The following is a 27,892-nucleotide window of genomic DNA, read 5'->3' as shown; positions in this document are numbered from 1 at the left end:
TCTTTTCATACTCTGATTTCTTGCTCCTTTATTCGATTTCTTTTTTTCTCTCTCTTTTTTCTCTCAAAGCATATTCTAGATCAATTTTTAAAACAAACTTCCTATGGAATTTTAAAATTTTTGTCCAGAGTTATCACCACAGTTATTATAACCTGGGATTTTGTACGGAGAACTAATTAAACTTAGCTGGAAGTATTTATAGCTCCAATTTACTGTTTATGGCCATGTATGTTAGGGCAAACCCAAAACAGTAAAAAATTGATCAGTCTAATCTGGCTCCTTGTCCCCGTGGCCAAATGTCTATCACAGAGTTTGTTCAGTGATGAAGTGCATTGTGGCTATTGTAATTGTGAATAAATGGCTGAAGTGAATTAATTTTGTTCTCCTCTTGGCTAACTGTTAACCATTTTTTGAAAAGTTCATTATGGTCATAGAGTAAGTAATTTATCATTTAGAATCTAAAACTGCTTGAAAGTAAATTTTGAAAGGGAGGGAAGTATCAAGTCATATGATAGGGATATACACAACTGTAAGAAAATGAGAGTCCCCAGACAAATGGATGCCTGGGAGGTTTGGGCCTCTGTTATTAACCAAGGTAAACAGTGGTGTGAGGCATGGGAGAATTAGTCTTGCTAGACTCTTAAAGGAAGGAGGGTAACTATTTCAGGTTTTAGTACTGAATGTCAGGCTTTCTGAATGTGAGGATGAAGTAGCCCAGGTCTTCCTTGAATCTAATAAGATTCCCATCTTACCATTCAACAAGGTAGCCTGGTCTGCAGATGAGACAGTTGCTTTCCTGGAGAGCAAAAGGTCATAACTATTTCCTTCTGCACCTATATGGTAAAAAGCCTTTTTATTTTTTGAGACGGTCTTGGTCTGTCACCCAGGCTGGAGTGCAGTGGCGTGATCACAGCTCACTGCAGCCTCTAACTTCCGGGCTCAGGCGATCTTCCCACCTCAGCTTCCCTTGTAGCTGGGACTGGAGGTGCACACCTCCACTCCCAGTTTATTTGCTAAAGACTCTTACACTTTCTGTATCCCAGACTTTCCCAGCCTTAGAGTCTCTCCCAACTCATTTCTGCTTGCCTATGTATATCTTCACTTGGATGTCTAATAGGCAGATCAACATGAACTTGGCTTTTGTCACAATCAGGGTCTCAGCATGGGACAGCTGGCGTACTCAAAAGTTTTAATAGAAAGTTTAATGACAGCCAGGAGTCGTTGCTCATGCCTGTAATCCCAGCACTTTTAGAGGCCGAGGCAAGCAGATCACTTGAAGTCAGGAGTTTGAGACCAGCCTAGCCAACATGGCAAAAACCTGTCTCTACTAAAAATACAAAAATTAGCCAGGCATGGTGGTGCGTGCCTGTAATCTCAGGTACTGGGGAGGCTGCAGGAGGAGAATTGCTCGAACCTGGAAGATGGAGGTTGCAGAGAGCTGAGATCATGCCACTGTACTCCAGCCTGGGCAATGAAAAAAAAAAAGAAAGTTTAATGAAGTACAGTTTGCCAAGGTGTGGGCAGAACTATAGAAGCCAATACAAGGTGTTAAGGCATCCAGGGATTAGCAACATTGGAAAGCTGTTATCTTCTTTAATCCTGTAGGGACAAGCAAAAGGAACCCAGGGAAAGCCTGAAGCCATAGAACAAGGTCCATCCAATTGAAGTAGCAATCCCAGAATGCAGTGACTGGCAGAACTGGAGTGAGACAGGGAGGGTCTAAAGGAATAAATTCTCCTACTTGTTTCTTATTCAGCCTCTTGCTGGTACCTCATATTGCCTTATGCCATTTGAAATCAGACGACAAGAGCACACCCTGGCCATAAAGCAGAGCAGAGAAGTGTGGGAAATAGATGGGTGTGTGCTTGTGTGTGCACATTGTTTGTGGAAGTGGGGGGTTGGCACAACTTCTACTATTACCAATCCCCATTCTCCAAATAAACACACACATCTCATTCTTTCTTCACCCTTCTCCATCTCAGCAGAAGGCACCAGTATACACTCAACTGTTCGTGCGAAAAAAAATTATCAAGGACCATTTTTATTCTTTTCTTTTTTTTCTTTCATTTCCCACATTCAAACCATTACCAAGCCCTGTTGGTTCTCTCCATCTGGGCCGCCATACCCTTATGCAAACCACCATTATTTCTCCCTTGGGCCATATTAGGAACACCCTAACTCCTCTTCTTTTTTTTTGTCCCTACCCCTCTCCAACCTACCTCCCTATCTTTGTTACGAGAGACTTTGTAACCTGATGGTGACAAGGAGTATTTACAGTCCAAACAGCTGTCGATAAAGCAATATCCCACTTCATAATTTTATTTCACATGCCTCTCCTGGGAACAGGCCACTGTAATAACTCTTCGTTCACAATTCTAAGCCCTGCAGATCCATCTGTGAACAAAACAAAGTCTCTCCTCTGGTGGAGTTTACATTCTTGTAGGAGGAGACAGACGATAAACAAATAAGTATAAAGTGTGCCACGTATTGAAAATTATATTATGAAGAAAAATAAATCAGGGTAAGCAGAGAGTGACTGAAGTGCCATTTTAGTCAGGGAAGTCCTCGCTAATTAAGTGTTTGAGCAGAGCCTTGAAGGAAGTCACAGGGAGTTATGAGCCAAGAGTTCCAAGCAGAGGAAGAGGAAGTGCTAAGGCCTTGATCCAGGATCATGTCTGGATTTTATCAGGAAGTGTGAGAAGACTTCTGGCCATGCAGAATGAGCAAGACAGAAAGTGAGAGGAGGCCAGGTCAGAGAGGAGGTGAGGGGCTGGATCATGATCAAGTGGAGGCTTTCAGGCCATGAAAGGGATTTGGATTTAAACGGGTGTGATTGTGAACCAATAGAGGGCGTGAAGGATCAGTGGCAGGAGCTGTGTCACAATTTTAAATCATCACTCTGGTTGCTGTATGGATAATTGAGGTATAACTGAAGGCTGAAGTACGGATAAGCTCATAAGTAGAGAGGCCAGTTAGGAGGCTGTGGTTATAGACTAGGTGAGGCCTGAATTAGAGGGATAACAGTGGGATAATGAGAATGCTTAGAATTGAAGATATATTTTGAAAGTAGAATTTGCTAATGGCATGGATGGGGGGGCTATAAGAAAAAACAAGTTTAGTCAGCTCTGAAATACAGTCTAACTATTAGCACTTTCACAAATCATCTCTGTCATTTGAGTCATTTGCTATTGTTTATTCAAGAGAAGCACTTTTTTTGGTCAAGACTTTATAATATTTAGTATCTACTTAATAATCTTAAATATTTTAATGTATCTTTTCTCTTGGACTCATTGTAAATGAAAGAATTATACTTGGATGAAGAGAATAAAATTCAGATTATACTTTAATGAAGAGACTAAAATTCAGTAAGTTGTAGAGCTTCAAAAGTTGCCTGCTACTCAACTCTTGTGTCTTAGTCAGAGCCCTGAATGATAAATCACATTGACCGCAAAGCCCAGGACTCCTCAGGACTCTTGTTTTTTTAGTTAATCTTGTTTTGTTGAAGAACAACTTCTCTTCCACCCTGCTTTCTTTTCTAAACTCAAAGCCTCCTCCAGAGTGGAGAGTTTTTCCGCATCCCAATTATGCAAAATGTTGATATTGGGTAGAGGAAACACATAGAATTAAAATAGTTTTATTAGGGGCTTGGGAACTGTGAGTGGCCAGAAATTTCTGGAATTTTGCAATGCGTTGATGGTGCCAGCAGCCCAGAGAAAGACTGGCTCTGATTGGTTACTATGGGATCTATGTTGTTCAGGTACATAGTAGAAACTCAGTAAATGTGTGTTATTGAGTTAAGAAATGGAATACATTGGGAGGGAACTGAAGAAGATATCATTTGGAAAAATGTAACCTATATAATCATTAGGGGAAAAATTCATTCCCTTGTGTGGTATGGATATCATGAAGTTGAGACAACCTAGGACTTAAAGGGTCATTGCTACAAAGAGTGGGGAAGGATTCCATATTTTGCTGTCTGTAGCTAGGACACAAAAATAGCCATTCGCTCTAGGTTTACACAGGAAGTTTGATATATTTTGATAATGTTGATATCAGGTAAGCTGAATTTTTAAGAGTTAAATTTTATATTTTCTATAGGGAAATATAAATGTAAAAATGCTCAATCAATTACAAAAGGAGAAGTGAAATTAAACTATACTGAGATAGCATTTCTCATCATTAGGTTGGCAAAATGCCAATGTCAGTGCACACTCTGTGGATGACACTAGTGATGGGGTGGGAAACAGCCATTCTTATATATTGCTGGTAGAAATACAAAATGAATAGTACGACCTATAGGAAAAGGAATTTGGCAATATTTAGAAAAATCACATACTCATTTACACTATTGCCAATCTTACTTTAAAAAAATTATCCCAATGATTCACTGGAAAAAGCAAGAAAAGATATGTGGACAAGGCAATTCACTGTAAGCCAGTGCTTTGTAACAGCAAACTACTAAGAACAATTCAAATGCCCACCAAAAGGGGCCTAGCTGAATAAATTATGGTACGTCCACACAATGGTGTACTCTTCAGCTATTAAAAAAACAATGAATCTGTTAGGCTGGTGCAAATAATGGCAAAAACCACAATTACTTTTGCACCAACCTAATATTTATACCCTTCTTTCTTAGATAACTAGAAAAGTAACATACATACTTCAGGTTTTTTTTTCATTCAATAATAAGACATTCTGAAAACGACTTTAGAATGGCCTGTGTATGTGTGGAGAGAGAGATTCCTCATTCATGTGTATTTACATATTCATGTGTATATGTATGTATAAGTCAACTTTGTTCTATATTTCAAGTAAAAATAAGAATCGAGGTTTTAGGGTATCAGTTAATATAGACTTCTGGGCTGGTTGACCTTTGCATGAGCCAACTGGCACTGAATTCTTCCTTCTTCTAGGTGCTGTCCATTGCCTGTGAGCATCTCCAAAGGCTCAGTCCTCAGCCCTCTGGTCCTTCTCCTCAAATTCTATTCCCAAAATTCAACTATTCCTGTGGGTTCTGACCTCATGGCACAAGAAATAACTCAGTAGGACAACATATGAATAGGAGTGCAGAATTTAAAAACATTTAATTAAAAAAATTAATTTTCTTGATTAAAAAGGAATAAAGCACACAAGATAGAGGGGGCAAATGGTCCATTAAGCTTTCAGTAGAGGACCTAAATTACATTTGTGACACGTAGCCTTGGTTTGCTCTCTAACCATGAAAAAGCCTTGATCAATGGTGCTTTAAGAAAAAGTAACCTGAAGGTTTGCAGGCCCCTCCAGCTCACGGCTCCTGGATAAACTCACCCAGAGTCTTTTTTCAAAGTCTATGAGGGCGGATGTTTGTCCCCATATAACTAACTCTCTGTCTTGTTTTAGGGTCACTGACCATCCTATGGATGACCGTCTCCATCAGTGCCCCTGACCGTGGATTCCGGGGTGATCACCTCAGAAAATGTTCTGACCACAGATCCAGAGAGACCATCTCCAGAAGTGCTCTGACCACAGACCCAGGTGATCACCTCTGTAAATGTCCTGACCACAGATCCAGAGAGACCATCTCCAGAAGTGCCCTGACCACAGACCCAGGTGATCACCTCTGTAAATGTCCTGACCACAGATCCAAGGTGACCACCTCCGGAAGTGTTCTGACTGTGGACTCCGGAAGTGCCCTGACCGTGGATTCTGGGGTAATCATCTCTGGAAGTGCTCGGGCTGCTGATTCCCAGCTCTTGCTCAAGCTGCTCACCTGGTGTGTGGATCTGCCATTGATGGTTAGAGCTCCGTGGCTCCTTGCCTTTGACTGTTTGGTTTTCTTCCGTAGGACAGTAGGAAAACGCTTTTCCCTTCTCACATCTCACTCTTTTTTTGTTGTTGTTTAAGACGGAGTTTCACTCTTGTCGCCCAGGCTGGAGTGCAGTGGTGCGATCTTGGCTCACTGCAACCTCTGCTCCCGGATTCAAGCGATTCTCTTGTTTCAGCTTCCCGAGTAGCTGGGACTAAAGGTGCGCCACCGACTCTGGCTAATTTTTGTACTTTCAGTAGAGACAGAGTTTCACCATCTTGGCCAGGCTGGTCTCGAACTCCTGACCTCAGGTAACCCATCTGCTGGGATTACAGGCGTGAGCCACTGTGCCCGGCCCACATCCCACTCTTAAGGCCGATGTCCCATGGCGTAGTGGCCCGGTTTCCTAGTGATAGCTAGTTTTACTATTATCCCAAAGCATGCAGGTGACTCTGGAGGGTTACAAACAGCCCCACAGAGTGCACAGGACCCCTCTTCCCTCGCCTGAGAGCCAGAATCATTCATCAGTTTTCGTAAGTGATTGATTTCTCTTCTTCAGCCTTCCTCCAGAAGGAACTTTTAACTTTGTCCCTCATTGGTCTAAATTTCTGTTGCGTGTGGAATTCAGGCTCCTGAATTGCGTGTGAGGTTTATGGATCCTACAGAAACCTGGGGCATGGCTGTGTCTATTAGTTTGGAATGTGCAGGAGTCGGATGTTTAGGGAAGAATAAATAGCCTCTTACTCTTTGAGGGCAACAGAGCAAGTTTCAATAGGTCAATTTAGGGTGGGACTGGGAGTCTGTGTGTGGGAGGCAGGAGGTAGACGAGTTTGAAGTTTGAAGTGTGGGGGAAGGGAGCTGTCCATGCTAGAATGTCCAAACCTCAATTCATAACTCAATGTGCCTTGGTAGGTTTGCAGTGTCTGCCATACCAAGACTTTCATTTACTGTAAGAAATTTTTAGCTAATTGCATGCAGTATATTTTTACCTGTGACTAAATTGTCAACTCAGTTTTAAAGCTTCTTGAATCTGTCTTAAAAAGTAACACTGGGCTGGGCGCGGTGGCTCACACCTGTAATCCCAGCACTTTGGTAGGCTGAGGCGGCGGATCGCCTGAGGTCAGGGATTTGCGACCAGCCTGGCCAACATGATGAAACCCCGTCTCTACGAAAAACACAAAAATTAGCCAGACGTGGTGACACGTGGCTGTCATCCCAGCTACTCTATTCGGGAGGCTGAGGCTGTAGAATCACTTGAACCTGGGAGGTGAAGGTTGCAGTGAGCCGAGATTGCGCCACTGCGCTCCAGGCTGGGAGACAGAGTGAGACTCCGTCTCAAAAAAAAAAAAAAAAAAAAAAAAAAAAGTAACACTGTTCCGTAACTCCCTCCCTACTGTTTCCATTCACCATTCCTCACTCCTTACGACTTTGGGAATCTGCTGTTGTTACTGTTGTTAGAAGGGTACCAACTTGATAGAATTTAGTAATATGGTAGAAGCCATGTTGATATATATTTTTTAACGGCTCTGTGGGAAAGAAAGGCAGCATTGGTATGGTTCTTGGATTTGGGGCTTGTAAAAAAAAATCGATTTTTTTTTTTCCTACATTGCGGGCTTTGAAAAGACGAAGCAGTGAGAACAGCAGTCAATTTCATGCTCAATACAAAATATTACGAGCTGAAAAGTTCTGTACCAGAGACTTCAAAGAAAATATAAAATATATATATATATAAAATTTTAAAGGCATAAAGCTTACCTGTTCCATTAGGTAATTTGTAGACTTCAACTAGCTTCTGCCATTTCTGTGAAGTCTCCACAGTTTTCTGAAGAAGGTTACTCTTCAAATCACAACTATTGTTCAATAAAAAGAAAAGAAAAGATATTGTCATGATATTTGTGCAATATTTCTGCATTATCAACTTTTGATTCGTAAAAGGGAAAAAAGCCTGTAGCTTCCCCAAGGAAAGCCTGTAACAATCTATTACATGAATCTAACATTGCACGTTTTGAAAAGTTTAGAAATTGTTTTACAGAAAAATCGTATTGCTTTTATTTATAGCTTCATAGGTCATCTCCAAACTCTGTGAATGCAGAGCAGTGAAAAATGGAAACACCTTAGTGTTGCTACAGACGACCCTTTGTTTGACTTTTCTTTTGGACTTACAGCATAAAGGTGTTGTATTAACACACATGAAAATATTATATAACACTTGAAAATATTTCAAGAGGTCTCTTCAACTAGGTAAAAACAAAAAACAGTGTTACTGAAAGAATGAAAACCACCTTGTTACAAACATAGGGGCCTTGCAGCAAATTAGGGTTCTGAAAGTTGGTTGTGTAGTATAAATTAAAACACACACATACACACACACACACACCAGACACTGTCTTTGTAACTCTAGTTTAGCTCTTCATTGATTGCAAATCCACTGGACCTAAACCAAATCTTCTATAACCCAACTGGTAGCTTGATGTTGAGATGGTAGTATAACCAGGCCATGGTATCTGCTACTCCTGCTTACAGCCAAAGGTGACAAATGAAAAAGGGAACACTTTTGCTAGTCAGGGAGCAGTATCTTCTTCCAGGTTAAGGCTACATGTGTAGCTGTGCTTTCTACTAGAATCTCCAAATGAGCTTTTAAAAGTCAATTTTTTTATTATAACAACCTTAAACGTTCAGATGAATCAATACCCAATCCCTATCTCACAACCTAGGTCCCTCACTAGAATACTACCTAAAGGGAAGGACAGCATATGCCTTTACCCCTATTGTATCTCCGAGATTCAGCATATGGTAGACACTCAGTGAAAATTTGTTGATTATGTATTCTCTGTTCCAGACATCTCCCTGCTATTGATAGGTTCGTCATGCAGCTTTTAAAAGAGCATGATGAAATCTTCCCCTAAGACATAAAGGAATTTATAATCCAGCCCTCAAAATACCCAAGAACATATGTCTTCTGATTTCTTTTTAAAAAGAGCCCCATTTAAGGCCTCTGTCCAGCCTGGAAATTAAACAGAAAGGTTTAGAACATGCACACAATAATTGGACTGATATATTTTAAATAAATTTCCTCTTCTGTGATAGTGAGAAATAACCCAGCTAGGGCTTTAGTCATTGTATTACACAACTCAGGCTGCCATAACAAGGTACCACAGACTGGGTGGCTTAAAAAATAGACATTTATTTTCTTACAGTTCTGGAGGCTGGAAGCCCCAAGATCAAGAGCCAGCAGGGTAGGTTTCTGGTAAGGCCTCTTGTCCTTGCTTGCAGAGGGCTGCCTTCTTGCGGTGGACCTGCATGGCCTTTCCTCTATGTGAGCAAGGAGAGAGAGACCTCTAGTGTCTCTTCCTCTTTCTATGAAAACAGTCTGATTGGATTAGGGCTTCACCCTTATGACCTCATTTCAAACTAATTACCCTACTAAAAGCCCTGTCTCCAAATACAGTCAAGTTGTGGGATAAGGCTTCAATATACCGATGGCGGAGGGAAGACACAATTTACTTCATAACATTCTTCCCACATACTTACTTAAGTTATGAGACATTAAGGAGAAGAGTCCATCATGCAAGGAGTTTGCATCCTCTTCTGGGGAAAGGGTTAGTGCAGTTATGCTTGTATGCAGGATAGCTGTATAATGTGGTGGAAGTATGATCTTGTTATTACCCTTATTTGGACATTATATGTGTTTTACAGAGACATGTACAGTGCCAAGTTGACAAGGGTGGGCTTATGATGGTTAATTTTGTGTCAACTTGATTGGACCATGAGATTCCCAGATATTTGGTTAAACTGGGTATTTCTGTGAGGGTGTTTTCGAATGAGATTAATATTTGGATTGGTAGACTGAATAAAAGACAGCCCTCCATAATGTGGGTAGGTTTTACCAAACCAGTTAAAGACCTATGTAGAACAAAAGGGTGACCTTCCTCCAAGTAAGAGATTTATCTTGCCTGACAGCCTTTGAACTGAAATATCAACTTTATTTTTTTTATTTTTTTGTGTGTGTTCTTTTTTCCTTTGCCTGATGGCCTTTGAACTCTGAGACAGTGGCTCTTTCTGGTACTACAGCAGCCTTACAGCCTTCAGTTTCAAGCTGGGATATAGGCTCTGCAGGTTTGTAGAACCCTATTAATTCTGTTTCTCTGGAGAACTCTGATTAATACAGACATGCATTTCAAAAGCCAGTTATCTCCCACGTGTTGTCACTTAGTCATGTGTATTGTAAATGTATCCTGGTTAGTCATGTTTATATTTTATTGTTGCAGAATGTGGGAATCAGAAAATCTCAGCCATACTTCCCACAGTTTTCTGACTCTTAATTTGTGTCAGAAATTTGAGTGATTACAAAATATCCAAGTGACTATGAAATATTTCCTAAATTCTCTAACATACTGGCTGCATGACCTCGGGTGAATCGCTTATTTGCTCCAAAATTCAGTTCCTCATTTGTAAAATGGGGATAAAAATATATCCTGTTTCTATTTCATGGAGTCATTTTAGCATTTCATGACATGGCACGTGTAAAAGTTCCTGTAAAGATAGAAAGCACTATCATGTGATTGAGTTTTGTACTAATACTGTATAATATACACATGCATTTGCTGCTATGTAGGTTTATCTTGAATGGAAAATTCCTAAACCTTAGGAAACATCTTTTGATGACACACTCCTTTGGTTAAATCAGAGATGGAAACTCAGTAGCACACATGCTGCTAGTCTTCCTTCCCACTTCCCTGACAGGCATCTGAAATCCAATCCACCAAGGAGATGCTTCTTTCCCACTGAGCATGTTAAGGGTTTAGACTGGGATTGGAAGCTCACGCCTATGATCCCAGCAGTTTGGGAGGCTGAGCTGGGAGGATCGCTTGAGGCCAGAAGTTTGAGGCCGCAGTGAGTCAAGATTGTGCTACTGCACTCCAGCCTGGGCGACAGAGACCCTGTTTCTTTTTAAGAATCTTCTAATGCCTAGTATTATATTAGCATTTTAGTATTCCTGGCAACCACTACCAATGGACCTGAGTAGGTCCACAAATTGATGCCTCATTGATTTGTTACTAATCAACTAACCAATTTGTTACTAAGTTAGCAATTCTGTGGGTAGCCTGTTCTGTCAAAGGAATGTCTGGATTAATTGGTGTGTGGATGGTGTGGAGAACTATGTTTAATCTCAATTGTTGCAGTTAGCAATAAGAATTATAACTCTTCTGCATCAACTTTGCAAAACATTTCCAGTGTGTCCCTCAGCATTTGAAGCCTTTATGGTCAGAAATACAGACATTTCTGCCCCTCTTGTAAATTTTCTTACAAATTCTGCAGTTTGTGGGAATTGCCACTGCAAAAAAGAGTGACTTGAAAGGGAACAAGAAATCAGACAGACTATGCGCCAAGAGAAGAAAATGGGCCAGATTATCTACCTTCCTCACCATCCCTTGCTTGTCTTCCTCCCACCAGTATGGGCATAATTACTCCTTCTGGGGATGGTTTTTTTCAATTTCTGCTCAAATTACATAGAAGAAACCAGAGTTCTCTGATTAAGTAAGCAGAAGGTTTTATATTTCCCTTTGTCACTGAGTCATAAAAAGAAACAAAACAAAACACATTCAGCTCAATCGAAATCTAACCAATCGCATAGCTTTATTAAACATAGTATCAACAGAAAGAAAATATGTAGTCTTTGCCCAGAAAGGATGGATGCCAAGAACAGAGTAATTTTTTGGCTTTGTCTTTGATATCTGTAAATTTTATTCTTTGTGCAAGTCACTACGTTCCTGAATAGCTGTTGATATTAAACATTGGGGGAAACTTACAAATGGACAGTGAAATCCATTAGGGATTACCAGATGTTAACTAGTCACACTCCACAAGGGCCCTACTCACATCTGTTTTTGACCTCCAGGGTGCATAAAATACTTTCTTTTCTCTTCTATTATTCTATCTCCTTATTTTTCTGGCCAAGTGTATATTGGATGCAAAACTTGTTCAGACCAAAACTTGGCATGTGAACTCTTGATTTGGCTGCAGTTAGGTTACCACCAATTTGCAAAATAAAGTATGAATAATAATCCACGCTGTAAGAGTGCAAAGTAAAATAAATCTTTACTTTACCATCTTATCTGGGAATGTTAATCAATCTGGCATGTAAGTCAACCTTAATTTCTGTGTAAAAGTTCCAGATGTAGTTATGATTCTATTTTATAAATATAACCAACATGTTCGCTATCATGAGAACTAAAGACTCCATAGATCTCAAGAATGACCCTTTCCTTATAAATATAATCCAAGCCTAGGGGCATGGAATTCAAGTGGGTTTGCTTGATAACTTTGCCTCTATACAGTCTCTTCGCAGCTCTTTGCTCCTGTCCCTTACTCACTTCAACTTCTTTCCCCCTCCTTATTTTCTGCCAGGTATGTGCCTCCTCCTTACTTGCAGGAATTAGATTAGCTATTTGGGGAGCAATAGCTCCAAATAGCTATTTGGCCGAAAAGGGAATTGTCTTTTGTGTCTGCAGTGGTGATTGGGGATGTTAACCTCCATCATTGTGTCTGCAGTGGTGATTGGGGATGTTAACCTCCATCATTTTTGTCTTTCAATGTAGGCATAAATATTAGACATCTGAATATTTCAAACTTGATACATTATGAAAGACTGTAGTCACACTCAAACCTCACTGATGCTCTGTCTACCTGGCACCAGGATGTCATTAGCCATCTGTCCACTGTGTGCAGGCCTTGCACAGACTTGCAAGACTATCTAGAGCCTTTAGCCACAGTGAAAGCTGGGGGAAGAAAACCATTGGCTCTCATTTATTAGGTACTCACTCGCTATGGTACAGGCACATTACCTTCTTTGGTGCCACAGTAGCATGTTAGGTAGTGCTCTTACAAAGGAGAAAAGGGAAGCATAAAAGGTTTAGGTTCTTTCCTGTAGGGACATAGTGCTGACAGCCTGATGCTAAGGCCTGTGCCCTCACCTTGTGCTGCTACTCTCCCTGCCATATTAGAGAGGAGCTTTTTCAACCATTCCTCCCATTTTGCAATTTTTGGTCACCAAACAAAATGCATTGCCATGGTATCTCCTTTCTTTGGCATGTTTTTTTTTAAATGTTTTTATTTCAATAGCTTTGGGGGTACAAGTAGTTTTTGGTTACTTGGATAGATTGTATCCTGTTGAAATCTGAGATTTTAGTGCACCTGTCACCTGAGTAGAGTACATTATACCCAATATGTAGTTTCTTTATCCCTTGACTCCCCTCCACTCCCCTCTTTGAGTCTCCATAGACCATTATATCACCCTGTATGCCTTTGCATACCCACAGCTTAGCTCTCACTTATAAGTGAGAACATACAGTATTTAATTTTCCATTTCTGAGTTATTTCACTTAGAATAGTGGCCTCCAGCTCCATCCAAGTTGCTGCAAAAGATATCACTTTGTTCTTTTTATGGCTAAGTAGTATTCCATGGTGTATACATACCACATTTACTTTATCCATTCATTGGTCAGTGGGCACTTAGATTGGTTCCATATCTTTGCAGTTGTGAATTGTTCCTTGTCATGCTTTTATCTCTTACTGCTTTGCAATTCTGCACTTCAACATCTGTACCTCCACCATCCCAGGATGTATTCTCTTGGCACCCAGTTGAGCTCCTACCATTTTGTAGGTGTCATCCTCTTTTGAAGTTGATGCCATCTTCTTTAATAGCCTATGACTCTCTTAACCTTCCAGTCATCTCCTTTTATTCACTCAGATGCTTGGCACATGAATTAGGATCCTTTTCTACCAAATTTACTTTTAAGAGATTTTACCTTCCCTGGTCATTCCAGAGACATCCAATTTCTTGCTGCCTCTATTTTCTTCTAGTCAGTTGACTTCCTCCATTTTCTTTTTTGTTCTACTCCTCCTAGACTTTACAGCTGATCTCACAAAAGTTGATATTAACATCCTTGGTTCCTTTAGATCTTCATACTCTGTTGACCTTGCCCAAGAAAACTGAATCCTAGATGAATGCCACAGTCCACTTTCTCTATATGTGGACAACTGAAAGTTGCTAGAGGAAATTGCATATCCCTATATGATGCTATTAATACAAGCTTAGAATTATTCATTAGCCTTTTATTTACCTTTTCTTAGATTCTACTCTTTATCTTCAAAGACAAGCTCAAGTCCTCACCACTCTCCTCCAGTTCCCCAACCAATGCCCACACTTCACTATCAGCACATGGTCTCCTATCCTATTACTATGATGGCTGAGATCATCAGGCCTGACCTATATCATTTTTCTGTCTCACTTTAGTCATTCTCTTATCTAAACCCTCACCCTTCCTTCCTCCCTGCAATCTTGGAGGACAAGACATCCCTTCTCCTGCCTGGAATCCCTTCCCCCTTTCCTTCCATTTGGTGAACTCTCTCCTCATCTTTTAAGGTATGGCAAGTTGTCATCCTTCCTAGAAGGGTTATTTAAGGCCAGTCCCATAATTGGGTTAGGTGACTCCTTGAAGCTTTACACACACATACACACACACACACACTCTCTCTCTCTCATATTTGAAGCTTTTCTGGCAGACACACACACACACTCATTTTTTTCTAGTATTTTGGGTATAATAAAAATATCTCTTATTTCACATTCTTAAAGCTGCTAAGAATGAAATAGACTGTGACTTTGGAAAGGTCACCTGCCCCTTCTGGGCCTCAGTTTGTAAAGTGAGAAGATTGGACTAGATAAGCTCTGTGGACCTCTTAGAACTGAGATAATGATTTTTATTGATGACAACAATCATAGAACAGACTATTTTCATGGAAGGCAGCAGAAAGGTAATTGATTACGGTACTTGAAAAGTATTCTTAAAATGTCACATAATTCCTTTATCTGACATTTCTGAAGTCTATTTTTAAATGTATAATCTGCTTTGAAATAAAATTAAAGAACCAAATAAAATGTTATATTTACCTATCAACTTTTAAAAAATAAACCTTTAAATTTTATAATAGTTAGATTTGCATGAAATATTTGCAAAAATAGTACAGAGTTCCTACGTACTCTTCATTTATTTTCTTATTAACATCTTACATTATCACATAACTTTTGTCACAAATACGGAACCAACATTGGTATATTATTACCAACTAAACTCTTGGCCTTATTCGGATTTCATTATTTTTTGTTACTAATTTCCTTCTCATGTTCCAGAATCCCATTCAAGAGACCACATTACATTGAGTCATCATGTCTCCTCAGTTTCCTCTGGTCTTTGAGAGTTTCTCAGTCTTTGCTTGTTTTCCATGGCTTTGACGGTTTTGAGGAGTATTGGTAGGTTATTCTGAAAAATGTCCCTCAATTTGTCTTTGTGTAATGTTTTGTGAGATTTTTGGAGGAAGATCACAGAGGTAAAGTGCCATTTTCATAACCTCATACAAAAGGAGCATGCTATCAACATGACTTATCACTGATGATATTAACCTTGACCTCAATGTACAAAGCATTTTCATAATCATTACCTCATGTGATTCTTTAAATGATCATGAAATGGACAAGATTGGCATCCTTAGGTCCATTATACAAAGGGGGATTTTGAGGCTGGGATGGAATTAAGGTGTTGGGACTGCCACCCCACTGGTTCCTTTATAGCACCTGACCACCTCTTCTAAATTATACATAAACGAAGCAATATCTTACAATGCTTTCCATGTCAACTCACTCTAGAGCTGCTGTGGCTAGGAATGTTCATGATTTAGTGATTCATGTTATCTTCATCCTGTAACTGTAACCTTAGTCTTATTTGAACAAATTTAGATCATCACAGAAGATGATCAAATGTTTCTACTGATCAGTGTTCTCCCTTCTTTGTGATGGAGTGAGGCGTTGAGCTCACACAAATGACATTTACTAGCCCCATCATTTACAAGCAGCTGGCCTTAGAATACTCAGCTATGGTCCCAGCTGGGGAATTATACCTTTCTGTTTTGGGTGTTGTTTACCCAATCCTCACTTATATCTTTATTTATTTATTCAACAAATATTTACTGAGTACCTGCTTTATTCCAGACATTTTTCTGAGCACTTTTGAAGTATCAGTTAATTTAATCTTAATAATAGACATGAAGGTCTATCATTATTTGTTTTTATAAATGAGAACCAAAATTCAAAGAAATTAAGTAACTTTCCAACTGTCACATAAGAAGTGGAGCCAACTCTTGAAGAAGGTGGCTTAATCAAGATCCTCCACCTGCACTTTAGATTCCTATTCCTTGTTAGCTGTTGAAGTGTCTGAAAACTGATCACTACCACTGACTTTTATTAGTTTCTAAAGATGAATAATTATGATAGTTATTACTAGCATAATAAAGTTCTATTTTCCTTCCTGTTATATTATAATGTGAAATAATTACAATTCCTTTTCCTGTTTAATACACACATTTTGAACAGTAAAGCAACCTGTGAGTTTTCTGTTTCAAATTGGGAACTGAGAATTAAGATTTCACCTTTGAAATGGAAGAAAAGATTTTGAAAATCCAAAAAGATACAATAGAAGCAGTATTAGAAAGCATGAGGGGGTGAACCTCCTTTTTGAGGAAATCCAGGAAGACAGAATACAGACAGGATTGGGTCAATGGAAAAACCAGTGCAGAGGAAAACAGACTGAGATAGCCAAGGTGGGCCCAGTTCTTTCTATGAGCACTCCTTAAGAAGCTGAAGTCACAACCCGCAAGTACAAACAGCAGTAATGCTTGAGGTGTTTGTTCAACACATATATTGAGAACAATTGAAATATCTGGAGATCACTTCTGCTTCCTTACTTAGAGGCTATCACTAGCGATATTTGCTCCCAAGCTAAAACCTGAGAGGTGTTCTTTAAAGAAAAGTTGTTGGGTGGGCTGTGAGGCTTCTAGTAAGGGTGTGGGTAGAATCAGAGCATTGTTATGGGTAGATATGGATCTTCACAGCAGCCAGAACTAGGGCAAGGAGTAGAAGAGAGAAGTCAAGGCAGCTCTACCAATGACTGAATGAGATGCACTAAGAACCAGCTCCCAGAGGAACCTTCCTTGCCTTGACACCCCTGCCTGCTCCTCTTCATTGCACCCGTTACGGAAGCTGACCTGACAAGTGTTTCTTGCCCAAGTATCCAGGACCACAGCCAGCTCTTCCATTTAATAGATAAACAGCAACTCATACACCTATTTCAAATATGTCCTGTAACCAGCCCAGTCCTTGGTTTGTAAATATAAATGAACAACAAAAGATCATCAGAGTATTTGAGAACCGTCATGTTATAAAACCCTAGATGTAAAGGATGGAACTGAGCAACCAACCAAGTAAAAACAGAAATAATTCAGGAAGACAAAAAGGTATTGCATCCAGCAGACAAGAATAAACTTCTGTAAAAGAAAATCTCCATTAATAAGTAAGGCTTATTACAAAATAAGTTGACCAACAACAACAAAAAAATCACTTATAGAGTTCAACAATAAAATGAAATAATCCGAAGACTAACTTAGACATATGGAAGATAAAGGTAAGAACATAGATGAAAAAGACAAAGATGAAACGTATAAGGTATTCCAGAAGGAGAAAACAGAAACAATGAAGGAGAAAAAAAGATCAAAGACATAATAAAAGGAGATTTGACTCTCTACCGAAAGACGCAAGACTGCTGTGTTGAGTAGGGTATATGAAAGAAATGTCCACTATCTAGATGCAGTCAAATGATAAACATTCCAAGGTAAAAAAATTCTAAAAATTTCTGGAGATTTAAAAAAATACTTATCTACACAAAGAAGACAATGAGACATAAAACATACTTCTTATCAGTAACATTGCATTCTAGAAAATAATGGAATCTGAAAATATCTGAAAATACATTGAGTAATAATTATATATTTTAAATATTGTTTGTTGATTTTCAATTTTTAGAATAAACCATTTGAGAAGACACAGTATGCAGGCTTAATTATAGCTGGAGAATAGAATGTTACAGACAACAATTTTAACAAATTTGGGTGGTATAGGTGGAATGAGGAAGGAAGAAGGTGTTGCAGGATAATGGATTCCCCAAATTTCAAACTGAAAAATCAAGTTCTGTAAATCGGTAAATCAGGAAATAGAGGAATATAAAGTGTAATTTTAAAGGTATAATTTTAATCATCAGAAAAAAATGAAAATGTTAATTGTGAATGATTCCTCTGGGGAATAGATATACAATCCTGTAGTATATTATGTTTTTTCATGCATTGTATTACACACACACACACACACACACACACACATTTATGTATACAAGTAATGCCTGAATAGGATTAAATGGAGCCAAGGGAGGAATGAAGATTTCCAGGAGACTGCAGCTTCTGTGACCAGTCTGCAGCTTTGGTGGCCTCTGGATGCAGATGTGACTTTGTATTGCATCCCTGTTGGGAGACCATAGCTGGGTGCATAATTGCATGCATGCACAATGTTTCAATAGTATTAGGGAGGGGCATCTTTGGCCTTTGGCATCATAGGTGTAGGATGTGTGCGTGTCATCCCACAGCTGCATGGTACTCCACCTATCAATGTACCTGCCATGCCCCATTCCTCCCCTGCTTAAACTCTGCTGCCCAGAATCTTATGTTGAAGGATGAACAAAACAACACTAAACTGGTATTTGCAGAGGGATAGCCGGTGACTGGATTTCAGTCAGTAGCCTGCTCTGTGGTCTGTAGTGTGACCCTGATGCTTAGAGTTGAAGGAAGTCAGTTGAATTCCTTATCTCAGCAATTTGAATTCAGAGTGGAGAAATCTGGCTGGAAGACAAGAATGTTAGAGAGTTGCTGTGCAAAGGTCTCTAAACTGCAACCTTGAGATCCTTGCTGCCACCCAAGTCCACAGCTGTCCCCAGCTCCCAGTTCCCAAGGCCCTGTCTTCATCTACCTCGTATTCTTCAGTCCAAGAGATTCCATCTTCATTTTTAGACCACACATTCCCTTCCAATAACAACTCCTTTTACGTGAGCGAATTGAGAAAGTCTCTTCCTTGTAGCCAAAATCACCCAAATTGAAAGAAAATCCTGACAACTATGTTCAGTTTGCATTCAGAAGGGAAGGGAGACCTGTTGATAGCTGCCTCCTGGGATAGTGGAACAAGCTGGCTGCATTTTAGTGCAACCCCAGCCCATACCACAAGACCTGGGTGCATCAACTGAGATTGCTTTTTTTTCAAGAAGAGTAAATTTTTAAAATTGCTTATTTTTTTCTTCTTGTTTAAATATTGGGCTATTTGCCTGACAGTTTTAAGATATTTCTGAAAGCTTCCAGTCTTTAAAATGGACTTAGGAAAAAATTAAGAAGAAATCAACCTTAATTCTCTTTAATGACAATTTTGTTTTTCAGATCCAGAGACGACAGAAACTAATTTGTTTCTGAACCTTCAAAATAGGGAATAAGAAATGATTGGAAGATGTCAGACTGACTGCCTTCCCTTTTTTAAAGCTCTCCTAGAGATCCCTTCCTAGTAGGCTTGAGAAAGAGAGAAGTTGCTGGATGCGGTGGCTCACGCTTGTAATCCTAGCACTTTGGGAGGCAGAGGTGGACAGATCACTTGCGGTCAGGAGTTTGAGACCAGACTGGCCAATACGGTAAAACCCCGTCTCTACTAAAAATACAAAAATTAGTCGGGCATAATGGCATCCTCCTGTAATCTCGGGAGCCAGAGGCACAAAATCGCTTGAACTTGGGAGGTGGAGGCTGCAGTGACCGAGATCGCGCCACTGCACTCCATTCTGGGTAACAGAGCGGGACTCCGTCTCGAAAAAAAGAAAAGAGAGAGAAAGAGAAAAACAACCCCTGACTGCAAGCAAGTGGTCTGGCACCATCAGCCAAGCATTGGTATCCTCCTCTTGAACATACAAGTTTTACAAAACATCAGGTAAGGCCACTCTGAGATCATGGTGGATCAAATAGGACCGCTCCAAAATTATGTCTGAACATGAATATTGTACAAACCACAAATATCCCTTTCTATATTAGATTTATCAACATACCCAACATAAAATTAACCCAGCTTCCTAATAGCATTCCATCTAGAGTAAAGCCCCACTTCTGTAAGCCCCAAAATCACCTCAGTCAAGCCCAAATCATATCTAATAAGTTATCTCCAATGCTTTTTAACCTTTCTAAGACTTTCATACTGAGACGCCCCACAGTGGCCCATGGAGTGTGCCCCCTCCCTAAAAAAGTAATAAACTCAACTTGTTCAGTTCCAGATGTGTTCATCTGGGGTTTTTTGACAGGAATGTTATGTTGCTCCACTCCAATCCTGTTATTACTTGTCTCAGATCATCGAAGAGCAGTTCCCCTGGCGTAACTTTCTTGGCCCTCCCAATAATCACTGATGTCTACCAAGCATTTACCACTTGCCAGGCCCTTCATATGGATTAACTCATTTGATCCCCACAATGACCCCGTGAGTAGATAGGTTTAGTACCAAATTTACAGAAGGACAAAAGGCACAATACTACTAAGTGACTTAGTGAGCCGTCTAAGTCAGCTGGTTGGTGGGTACAGGGCTCTAACCCCCACAGCACACTGCTTCCTTCCACAGCATTCATCTGCCACACTATGCTCTTCCGCTTCACTGAATGGCGTGTGGTCACTGTGTCATCAGCCAACATTGAAGGACACTATAAACTAGAATAAACTGCACCAGGAAATCATTGCTGGGTTTCCTGTAAGATGTGGGAGAATGCTGACCCACAGGAGAAAACAAAAATTCTCTCAGCTCTCAGTATTGGAAATAACTTCTAAGCTTCTTGTGAGCAGTTAGATATTTCTCAACTAATGGAGACATTAATCACATAATTTGCAATTTTTCAACTTGATTTTAAGAAAAGTATGACATGATTTTAACTTGACTAAACCTAACCAGGAAAGATATTCCCTTTGTACTTTTCTTTCAATGTTACTAATGTGGTCAAGGGAGCATTCCTGCTTGGTATTATAGTAATATGACTAATTAATTCTATATCTCCCTTTATAACAAAGAAAGAGGGAGTTTGAGGCAGAGAGCTTTGGAAGGCACTAATTAATATCTAGAGAGATTTCAATAACATAGTTCATCATATTTTAGCTATTTTTGTAATTACTTTCCAACTATAGCCAATTATACAGGCTTTCCATTTACAAATGATACAAAGTTTCTTTTTAAAATAAATTTATTTGAGTAAAAATTTGAGGACATTTAAAGAAAAATATTAAGTCAATAGTAGTACAGGTGGTAGGACACCAAACAAGCAAACAAAAATCATGAAGGTGTTTTGGGAAACCCCGACTTCATTTCTTGTGTTGGACGCTGGAAAGAGGAGAGTTTAATTCATGGTCATTGATCTCAAGAGCACAGGTCCTTGAATTTGAGAGTGCATGCATTTTACCTTCTAATGGCATTCCTGGTTTTATCATTCCTCTCCTCCTCCACTTTCCCTTCTTCCGTCTTATCTTGCTACCCCTATATTTTTTTCAAGAAAAAAAAATAACCAACAGGGGTGGGGTGCGGTGGGGGATGGCACAATAAGGAATCTTCGAGTAGTAAAAGTGAGCAGGGCTACCCACTGGCCCAGGGAGGTGCGCTAAACTCGCAGAAAGCCCAGAGGGTCTGACTGCCTCTGATCCTAGGAAGTTTTAATTCAAGCTGGGCAGTAACGGGGTTTCTAAAATTGCTTGGATTCTTTGGCCCTCCTGCGTCCCGGCTTCGGGTCAGCATGACAGCGTGAAACGTGTTAGTGAATTAAAGTACTTCGGTGGAAAAGTAAGGCGGAGCTGCCAGAGATGCTCTCCTCCTCCGCCTTTCTGGCTGTGCTGCACCTTGACCTTCAGTCCTCCTCCCTCCTCTTTCCGCCCCCTCGTGATGGGGAAGTTCTTGGGAACCTCACAGAGGCCCGGGGGCGGGGATACCGGACAGGGATGGAGACTGGCCCCGAGATTGGGAGGGGGATGGGCAGCGCTGGAGAATAACGCCCTGGAGACAGGGCAGCGCAGCCCCAGACTCCCTGGAAAACCCAGCAGTCTGGAAAAGCTGGGTTTGGACTCACCCCTCTTTGAAGAGTTCTCAGGAAGTTTGGGGGAGGGGCGAGCCGCGCACCAGTTCTACCGGCATCGGGCGCTGAGGGTGAGAAGGGACCACAAGCAGCAGCAGGTCTCAGTGCTTGTCATATTCCTGCTCACCGGTGGGCTCCGGGCACGCCCGGCAGGGTCCTGGGGGCGCAGGCAAGGGGACGTAGGCAGAGTGCTCCGGCCAGCATGGAGGGACTGGTCTTCCTTAACGCCCTGGCCACTCGGTTGCTGTTCCTGCTGCACTCGCTGGTCGGGGTCTGGCGAGTGACCGAGGTGAAGAAGGAGCCGCGGTACTGGCTGCTTGCGCTGCTCAACCTCTTGCTCTTCCTGGAGACTGCGCTCACCCTCAAGTTCAAGCGCGGCAGAGGCTACAAATGGTGAGAGTGCCCCGGGAAAGCGAGGGCGCACGGGGCCCTAGGGTATTGTCCCCCACCGCACTCGCAGGCCATCTTCCCGCAACCCGCAGATTCTACTCGAATTTGGACCCCGTTTTTCCTCGCTGATCGCTTGGAAGGCGCGAGATGCTTGCGCATCTCTTGGGCACCCCAGGGCCACCCTAGGGTCCCAGTGCAACACTGGGAAGGCTCGATCTGTGAGCCTAGGCAAGAGTCACCCAGTCTCAGGTTTGGAAACTTGGAAGATGAGTAAAGAGAGGAAGCGCTGGTCTATTTTGCTGAATGTGCCCGCAAATAGGGGAGTCTTGGGACAAGGAGGTTGCCATGTAGTGTGCCTTCTGAAACTGGGGTGTGTGAGTGTGCGCGGGTTACTCTGCGTGCGTGCACATGTGGGAATGTCCTTCGCTGGGCATCAGCGACCTTCGCAAGAGCTGAGCACACTGGCCACCCTCCTAAGACGAGAAGACCCTCGCTGCACGTCTGTGGTTTCATCCGCTTCCCTTCCCTCCAGCCGCGCGCGTCGCGCGTTCTCTAGCACAGCGCCAGCTTCAGGTGTCTGGGTTTGCTGGCTTTGGGGCTTGGCTAACGGCCTGCCTATCTTGCAAGGAACGGGTTGTAACGCTGGTGAAGGGACCAGCAGGTAGTGGTTCAGTCTTAACGTCTGTGTGCAATAACTACACGCCACGTGTGGTGCTTATTTCCTCCCCGAAAGGCTTGAATGGCAATCAAATAATTGAGAAAAAGATTCTCTTGCCATTGACGAAGAGCCTCCCCCAACCCCCAGAGGAATCCATCTGGAAGTTCATCCAGAACTTCTCCAAGTTAGGCCTCTTTCTCTTTTAATTCTTTAAATAGGATGTGTTTTCATATATATATATATATATATCAATACATTAAAAATATCTCATGCTATGAGAAAGGAGAAAATGGTATTAGGCAATTTACAATTACATACACAATGGCATTATAGTCATTGTGTTCAAAAAAAATGAAACAACCCCTCTACAGTTTTACATACTAAACTACAAAAGGCTTTGTATTTCCTGACAGTTCACGGAAGAAAACATGTTGCCTCTGAAGATGATGTGAATCTTACTTACATTTTCTACTGTTGAAAAATTTCTAGAATTATCAATGCTGAAATTATTCAAGAACAATCCTAATTTAATACGACCAGGATGGGAATGTGACTACCCCTGGCTCCACCTCCCCACCCCCATGAAGAATTTATTAAGCGTGAGACATTTGAGGTACTTTCCAGTGTGCCTTTTGGAAATCTCAAAGAAAAATGGTGTTAGTTTCCCAAGTAAGCCTCAGGGATAAAGAAACAAAGGGGGAGAAAAGTGTTTGTTCACTCAGCAGGTCATATAACATTGATTTAACTTTGACTGAGTAGGTTTAATAAGCCAGAGTGGAAATATCTTTGGTCACAGAAAGATGAAGTCTGAGGCTGAAAACTGTTCATTGGAAAATAGTCCTGCCACCAACCGCCAGAGTTTCTAGGAGACCTTCAGCCTCAGAAGAGGGGCTGCTCTCCCCCTCCAAGAGTAGACCAGAGGCCTTAACTCGCATTAAGTCAAACATTCCTGTTGTGTGTAAATACTATAGCCAATGGAACTTTACCTTCACGTCTACATCTTTGTTTACTGCTGATTGGTACTGACATGTGACTTACAACCGAGAGAGGAAAAATGGTTGGGATAAAAATGAGTGATGGTCAATAAGTCAAGTTATACAGGGAACTGGGGATATACTAGTGTTTAGAGTACGCACCTCAAAATCAGACAGATAATGGGGTAAAATCTGGGTTTTCCTACTTGCTGTCAGACCTTGAGCAGGCTACTTAATGTCTCAGCCTCAATTTCTTACCTGTGAATACTTACCTCATAGGTGATTAGAGAATTATATAAAATAATATATGTTGACTGGTGATGAATAAGAAAGCAATGATCTTTTCTAAATCCAAAGATTTTTCTTTATTTTCTTCTTATTAAAAATATTATTGTATCAACTAGGCACACTTTATGTCCGCACAAGTCAGACAAATTTACTTGAGTGACTAGCCAATAAACCATTGGTTCCAGGCAAAAACGTCAAAAAAAAAATTCTCACCTTTATTTTGGAAGAACAGACCCATTATATATATTGTGCATTATAACATGAATTCAAGGAAAATCTTGCTGGCATAGTATCTACACTCATATTTGAAAATAAGCAAAGAAAAAAGTTGATTGATTTGACTTAGTATAAAATTTCAGCAACAAATGAGTCTTGGTAAATGGTCTAAATAGGAATATGATTAATAATGCTTTATTCTATTGATGTTACCAAATACAACTGAATATAGACATATGCTCATTTTTGTGGTGGAAAAAGCCCACACACTATTCTGTCATAAATGTGAGAATAAAAAATCAGAACATGGGCTGCTAAAACATGTAGGAAATTATCCTTGAAATAATATGTTAACAATGAAAAAACGTTCAATTTGGGGAACATTCCCTTTCTAGGTGAAGTATTCTGAGTAAAGCAAGGTGTAATTTTTGTTTTTGAGTGTTAAGAAAAAATTTCCATTCGAAAATCTAGGCTGATGGAATTAAATAGAGATGAAGTAAACATTATGGCAACATCTATACCTCTATATAGAAAAATATTAATATGCATTAATCTATATATAGATAAGCCTTTTTTCCATTGCTCTTATAGTCTTATATTTTGGAATCAACCCTGTAGAACTAAAGGTACCCATATGTGAAGACATGAGCAAAAATATTAATATCCATCTTGTTTGTGGAAAGTAAAGCTGAAAGCATACTGATTGTCCATCAGAGGAATAGTTAAGAATTGTGAAATATTCATACTATAGGCTATTTTGCTGACATTAAAAATAATGAGCTAGATTTTAACCACTAAACTCAAGGAATGTCCATGATATATTATCAGGACACTAAAGTTATAGAGTTGTGTATATTATGGTTACATTTTTTAAAAATGTAAAAGAATTGTCCTTTGTATCAATTGAAAGCATTGTTTCTACAAGTTGAAATGAGGAGCAAAGGAGGAGGAGAAAGGGAAGGCGAAAAGGAAAAAAAAACCTTCCATATTGAAAATAAATAAAGAGGAATAAATTAGAATAGACAGAATGATTGACTAAACATGAATGATGGACTAAAATATATACATATATAAGGTGGAAAAGTTCTTTTCTTTGAAAATCAGATCCATGAACTTCCTTTGGACTACTCTGGGCTACTTTGAGTATTGTTCTTTTAATTCAAATTTACACTTGGACCCAAACGAGTCCAATCTACAGAAATTGTGGAACAATAAATAGAGCTATAGAGGAAAATGTGAACTAAATATTTTGAAACACAGCAAACATATGACACTTATCCAGTGAATGTTTCTTTAGCTATCCTTTGGAAAGGAAACATGGAACTGGAATTGCTGAGCTCAGCTGTCCAGGGACAAGCAACATTACATCAACACTAGTAACTCGCCAGTTGGAGAGGTTTGATTTGTTGGAATCCTATAGAATAGAGAGGGTGAGCCAACAACATGTCCCCCGTTAAGCTAAAAAAAATATGCACTCCTGGAGTTTGCTTTTTTTTCACCTAATATTTAATTTGTTGGAATCCTATAGAATAGAGAGGGTGAGCCAACAACATGTCCCCCGTTAAGCTAAAAAAAATATGTACTCCTGGAGTTTGCTTTTTTTCACCTAATATTTATCTATTTCACCTGCATATTTAATTACATTTCTGTAAGATGAAAATGAATATCACTTGGCTTAAGATTTTCTTGATTTTATTTTCTATTGTCTGGGCAACAATCCAATGGATCTGTGAATTACCATTTAGGTAAAGTCAAATAAAAGTCAACATTTCAGCTGCTTTCCAGCCAATAAAATATTCCTCAGGGATAGAAAAAAATTACTAAGACTGTGACAAGTTTGAAGGCTGTTCACTCGAAAGCAGGCATTATCTGAGAATAAGTAGAAAGCTAGGTTGAACTTACTGGCAAAAGTATACAATTTTAAGCACTGAGTTTTCTTCCCCAGATAAATCCAAGGAAAATATCATTTGTGAGTTAATAAATAATAACTCACCTATTTGGTCACCTTGCTTTGTTATCTCTCATTTCCTTTTACTTTATTAAGTTCAATCAGACAAGTATTTTTGAATTGCTTAATGAGCAAGCATGATATGATACTATGCTAAACACTGTGTGACCAGACCAAAAAAAAAAAAAAACAAAAAAACAGAAAACAAACACGGTCGACATTTTAAAAGGTAGCATTTTGATACAGTGCTCAAATGTGCTGGTATCAGAATAATTATGAATATTTAGCATTTCCTATCTTCCAGAATCTTCCAAGTGTTCCACACAGATAGTCCCATTTGATCCTTTCAAAAACTGTAGTTTATATTGTTTCTCTGTTTTCTCCCGTTTTTAGATGAGAAAACTGAGGCACAGAGTTATTAAGTCATCCCTTTTGGGACCAGTTAGTTGTCAGTTGAGAGAGAAGAGTGAAGACTCCAGGCTCCCAATCTTACTCACTCCAGCAGTTCAGAGGAGAAAGGATATGCTGCAGAATATTGGGTCGGGAACAGGGAACTTGACAGCATTTGAGCTGTCACAGGAAGAATGGGTGAGAGCTGCATCCGGAGAGAGGTGTGTGAAGGCCATGTAGGGAGGGAACCTCCTGGGTGGGCAGGTGAATTAGACAACCTTGAGTAGTTTTCTCTGGAGAAGGCACAGAGTCTTTTCACTCTTCTTTCAACAACAGTGTACGGAACATCTACTGTATTGTGTCAGGCATTATTCAAGTACTGAGAATATGGAAGTGAATAAACAGGCAAAATTCTGCCCTCGCAAACCTCACATTTTAGTCAAGGGGCTTAGAAAATAAAGATGTGAGTAATTAATAAACAGATGAATTAATAGGTAACAGAAAACAAGTGAACAAATGAGTGATCAGAACTCTGAAGGCCCCAGTGGTTTGGGTGACAGAGTGAGGGGGGTGTGCAGGGGAAGGTGCCACTGGATGGTCAGAGAGGCCTGGCTGGGGATGTGACCTTTGAGCTGAGGCCTTAGAGAAGAGAGGGAGCCAGCCAGGCATGGGGAGGATAACAAAAGGGGCAATCGTCATGAGCCTTGAAATATTTCTGACATACCCTCAAATGACCGATTAATACTGTTTTTCTACTCTTCCCCTTTTCTTATTATTCCAGTATCCCTAGACTCCATGTTAAAAACTCTTCCGAATTTCTTTAACTTTACAATACTTCATTTTAAACACTGTGTATTAGAAATTATCTGGATGGCTCACAGCTGAAAACAGAAAAGACAAGTTAGGAAACAGAAAGGATTCTATCCTAAATTGATCTCAAATTCAAACCAATTTTGTAAAAAATTCACTGAAATCTGTTTAGATCACTCAATTGCATTTGAAAAGTTCAGCAGTGAAATTGAAAACCTAGACTTGACAGATGCATACTGTGTGAAATTTGATCTTGATGTATAAGTTTTAAGCAATGCGGGAGAACTTTGTATGATGTAATTCTGTAGTATGTGATAATATGTGCTTTCCTCCATCAAAAATGTTTATGAAAATGCCAGAGAGAAGGTT

General features: G+C 40.1%; 1 protein-coding gene and 1 long non-coding RNA gene across 7 annotated transcripts in view, besides 1 other annotated feature; one reads left to right on the top strand and one right to left on the bottom strand.

Annotated features, from left to right (window-relative positions):
* TMEM26-AS1 (TMEM26 antisense RNA 1) overlaps window positions 1-22,494 on the bottom strand; it is a 40,795-nt gene extending 18,301 nt beyond the window's left edge. Inside the window, exons 1-2 of the long non-coding RNA NR_120643.1 lie at window positions 21,844-22,494; window positions 7,541-7,635 (exon numbers count right to left, since the gene is read on the bottom strand). This is a non-coding gene — a long non-coding RNA (TMEM26 antisense RNA 1). The remainder of the gene's footprint in view (window positions 1-7,540; window positions 7,636-21,843) is intronic.
* Window positions 21,752-27,892, top strand: part of TMEM26 (transmembrane protein 26) — a 46,740-nt gene continuing 40,599 nt past the window's right edge. For all 6 annotated transcript variants that reach the window (NR_134507.2, NR_134508.2, NM_178505.8 and 3 more), the window contains exon 1: window positions 21,752-22,242. Coding sequence is in view for 4 of the 6 variants with exons in the window: in NM_178505.8 (NP_848600.2) it covers window positions 22,052-22,242 (191 nt within the window). In the remaining 2 variants the exon portion in view is untranslated. The remainder of the gene's footprint in view (window positions 22,243-27,892) is intronic.
* Window positions 22,668-22,962: a silencer, noted in NCBI's record as "tiled region #6107; HepG2 Repressive non-DNase unmatched - State 21:Repr". NCBI's record gives its function as "represses a minimal TATA promoter and a strong SV40 promoter by Sharpr-MPRA in HepG2 cells {active_cell/tissue: HepG2}" and the evidence as "EXISTENCE:reporter gene assay evidence [ECO:0000049][PMID:27701403]".

This window comes from Homo sapiens, chromosome 10 (assembly GCF_000001405.40).
Source record: "Homo sapiens chromosome 10, GRCh38.p14 Primary Assembly".
Classification (NCBI taxonomy): domain Eukaryota; kingdom Metazoa; phylum Chordata; class Mammalia; order Primates; family Hominidae; genus Homo; species Homo sapiens.
This window is presented reverse-complemented; position numbering and strand designations above follow the sequence as displayed.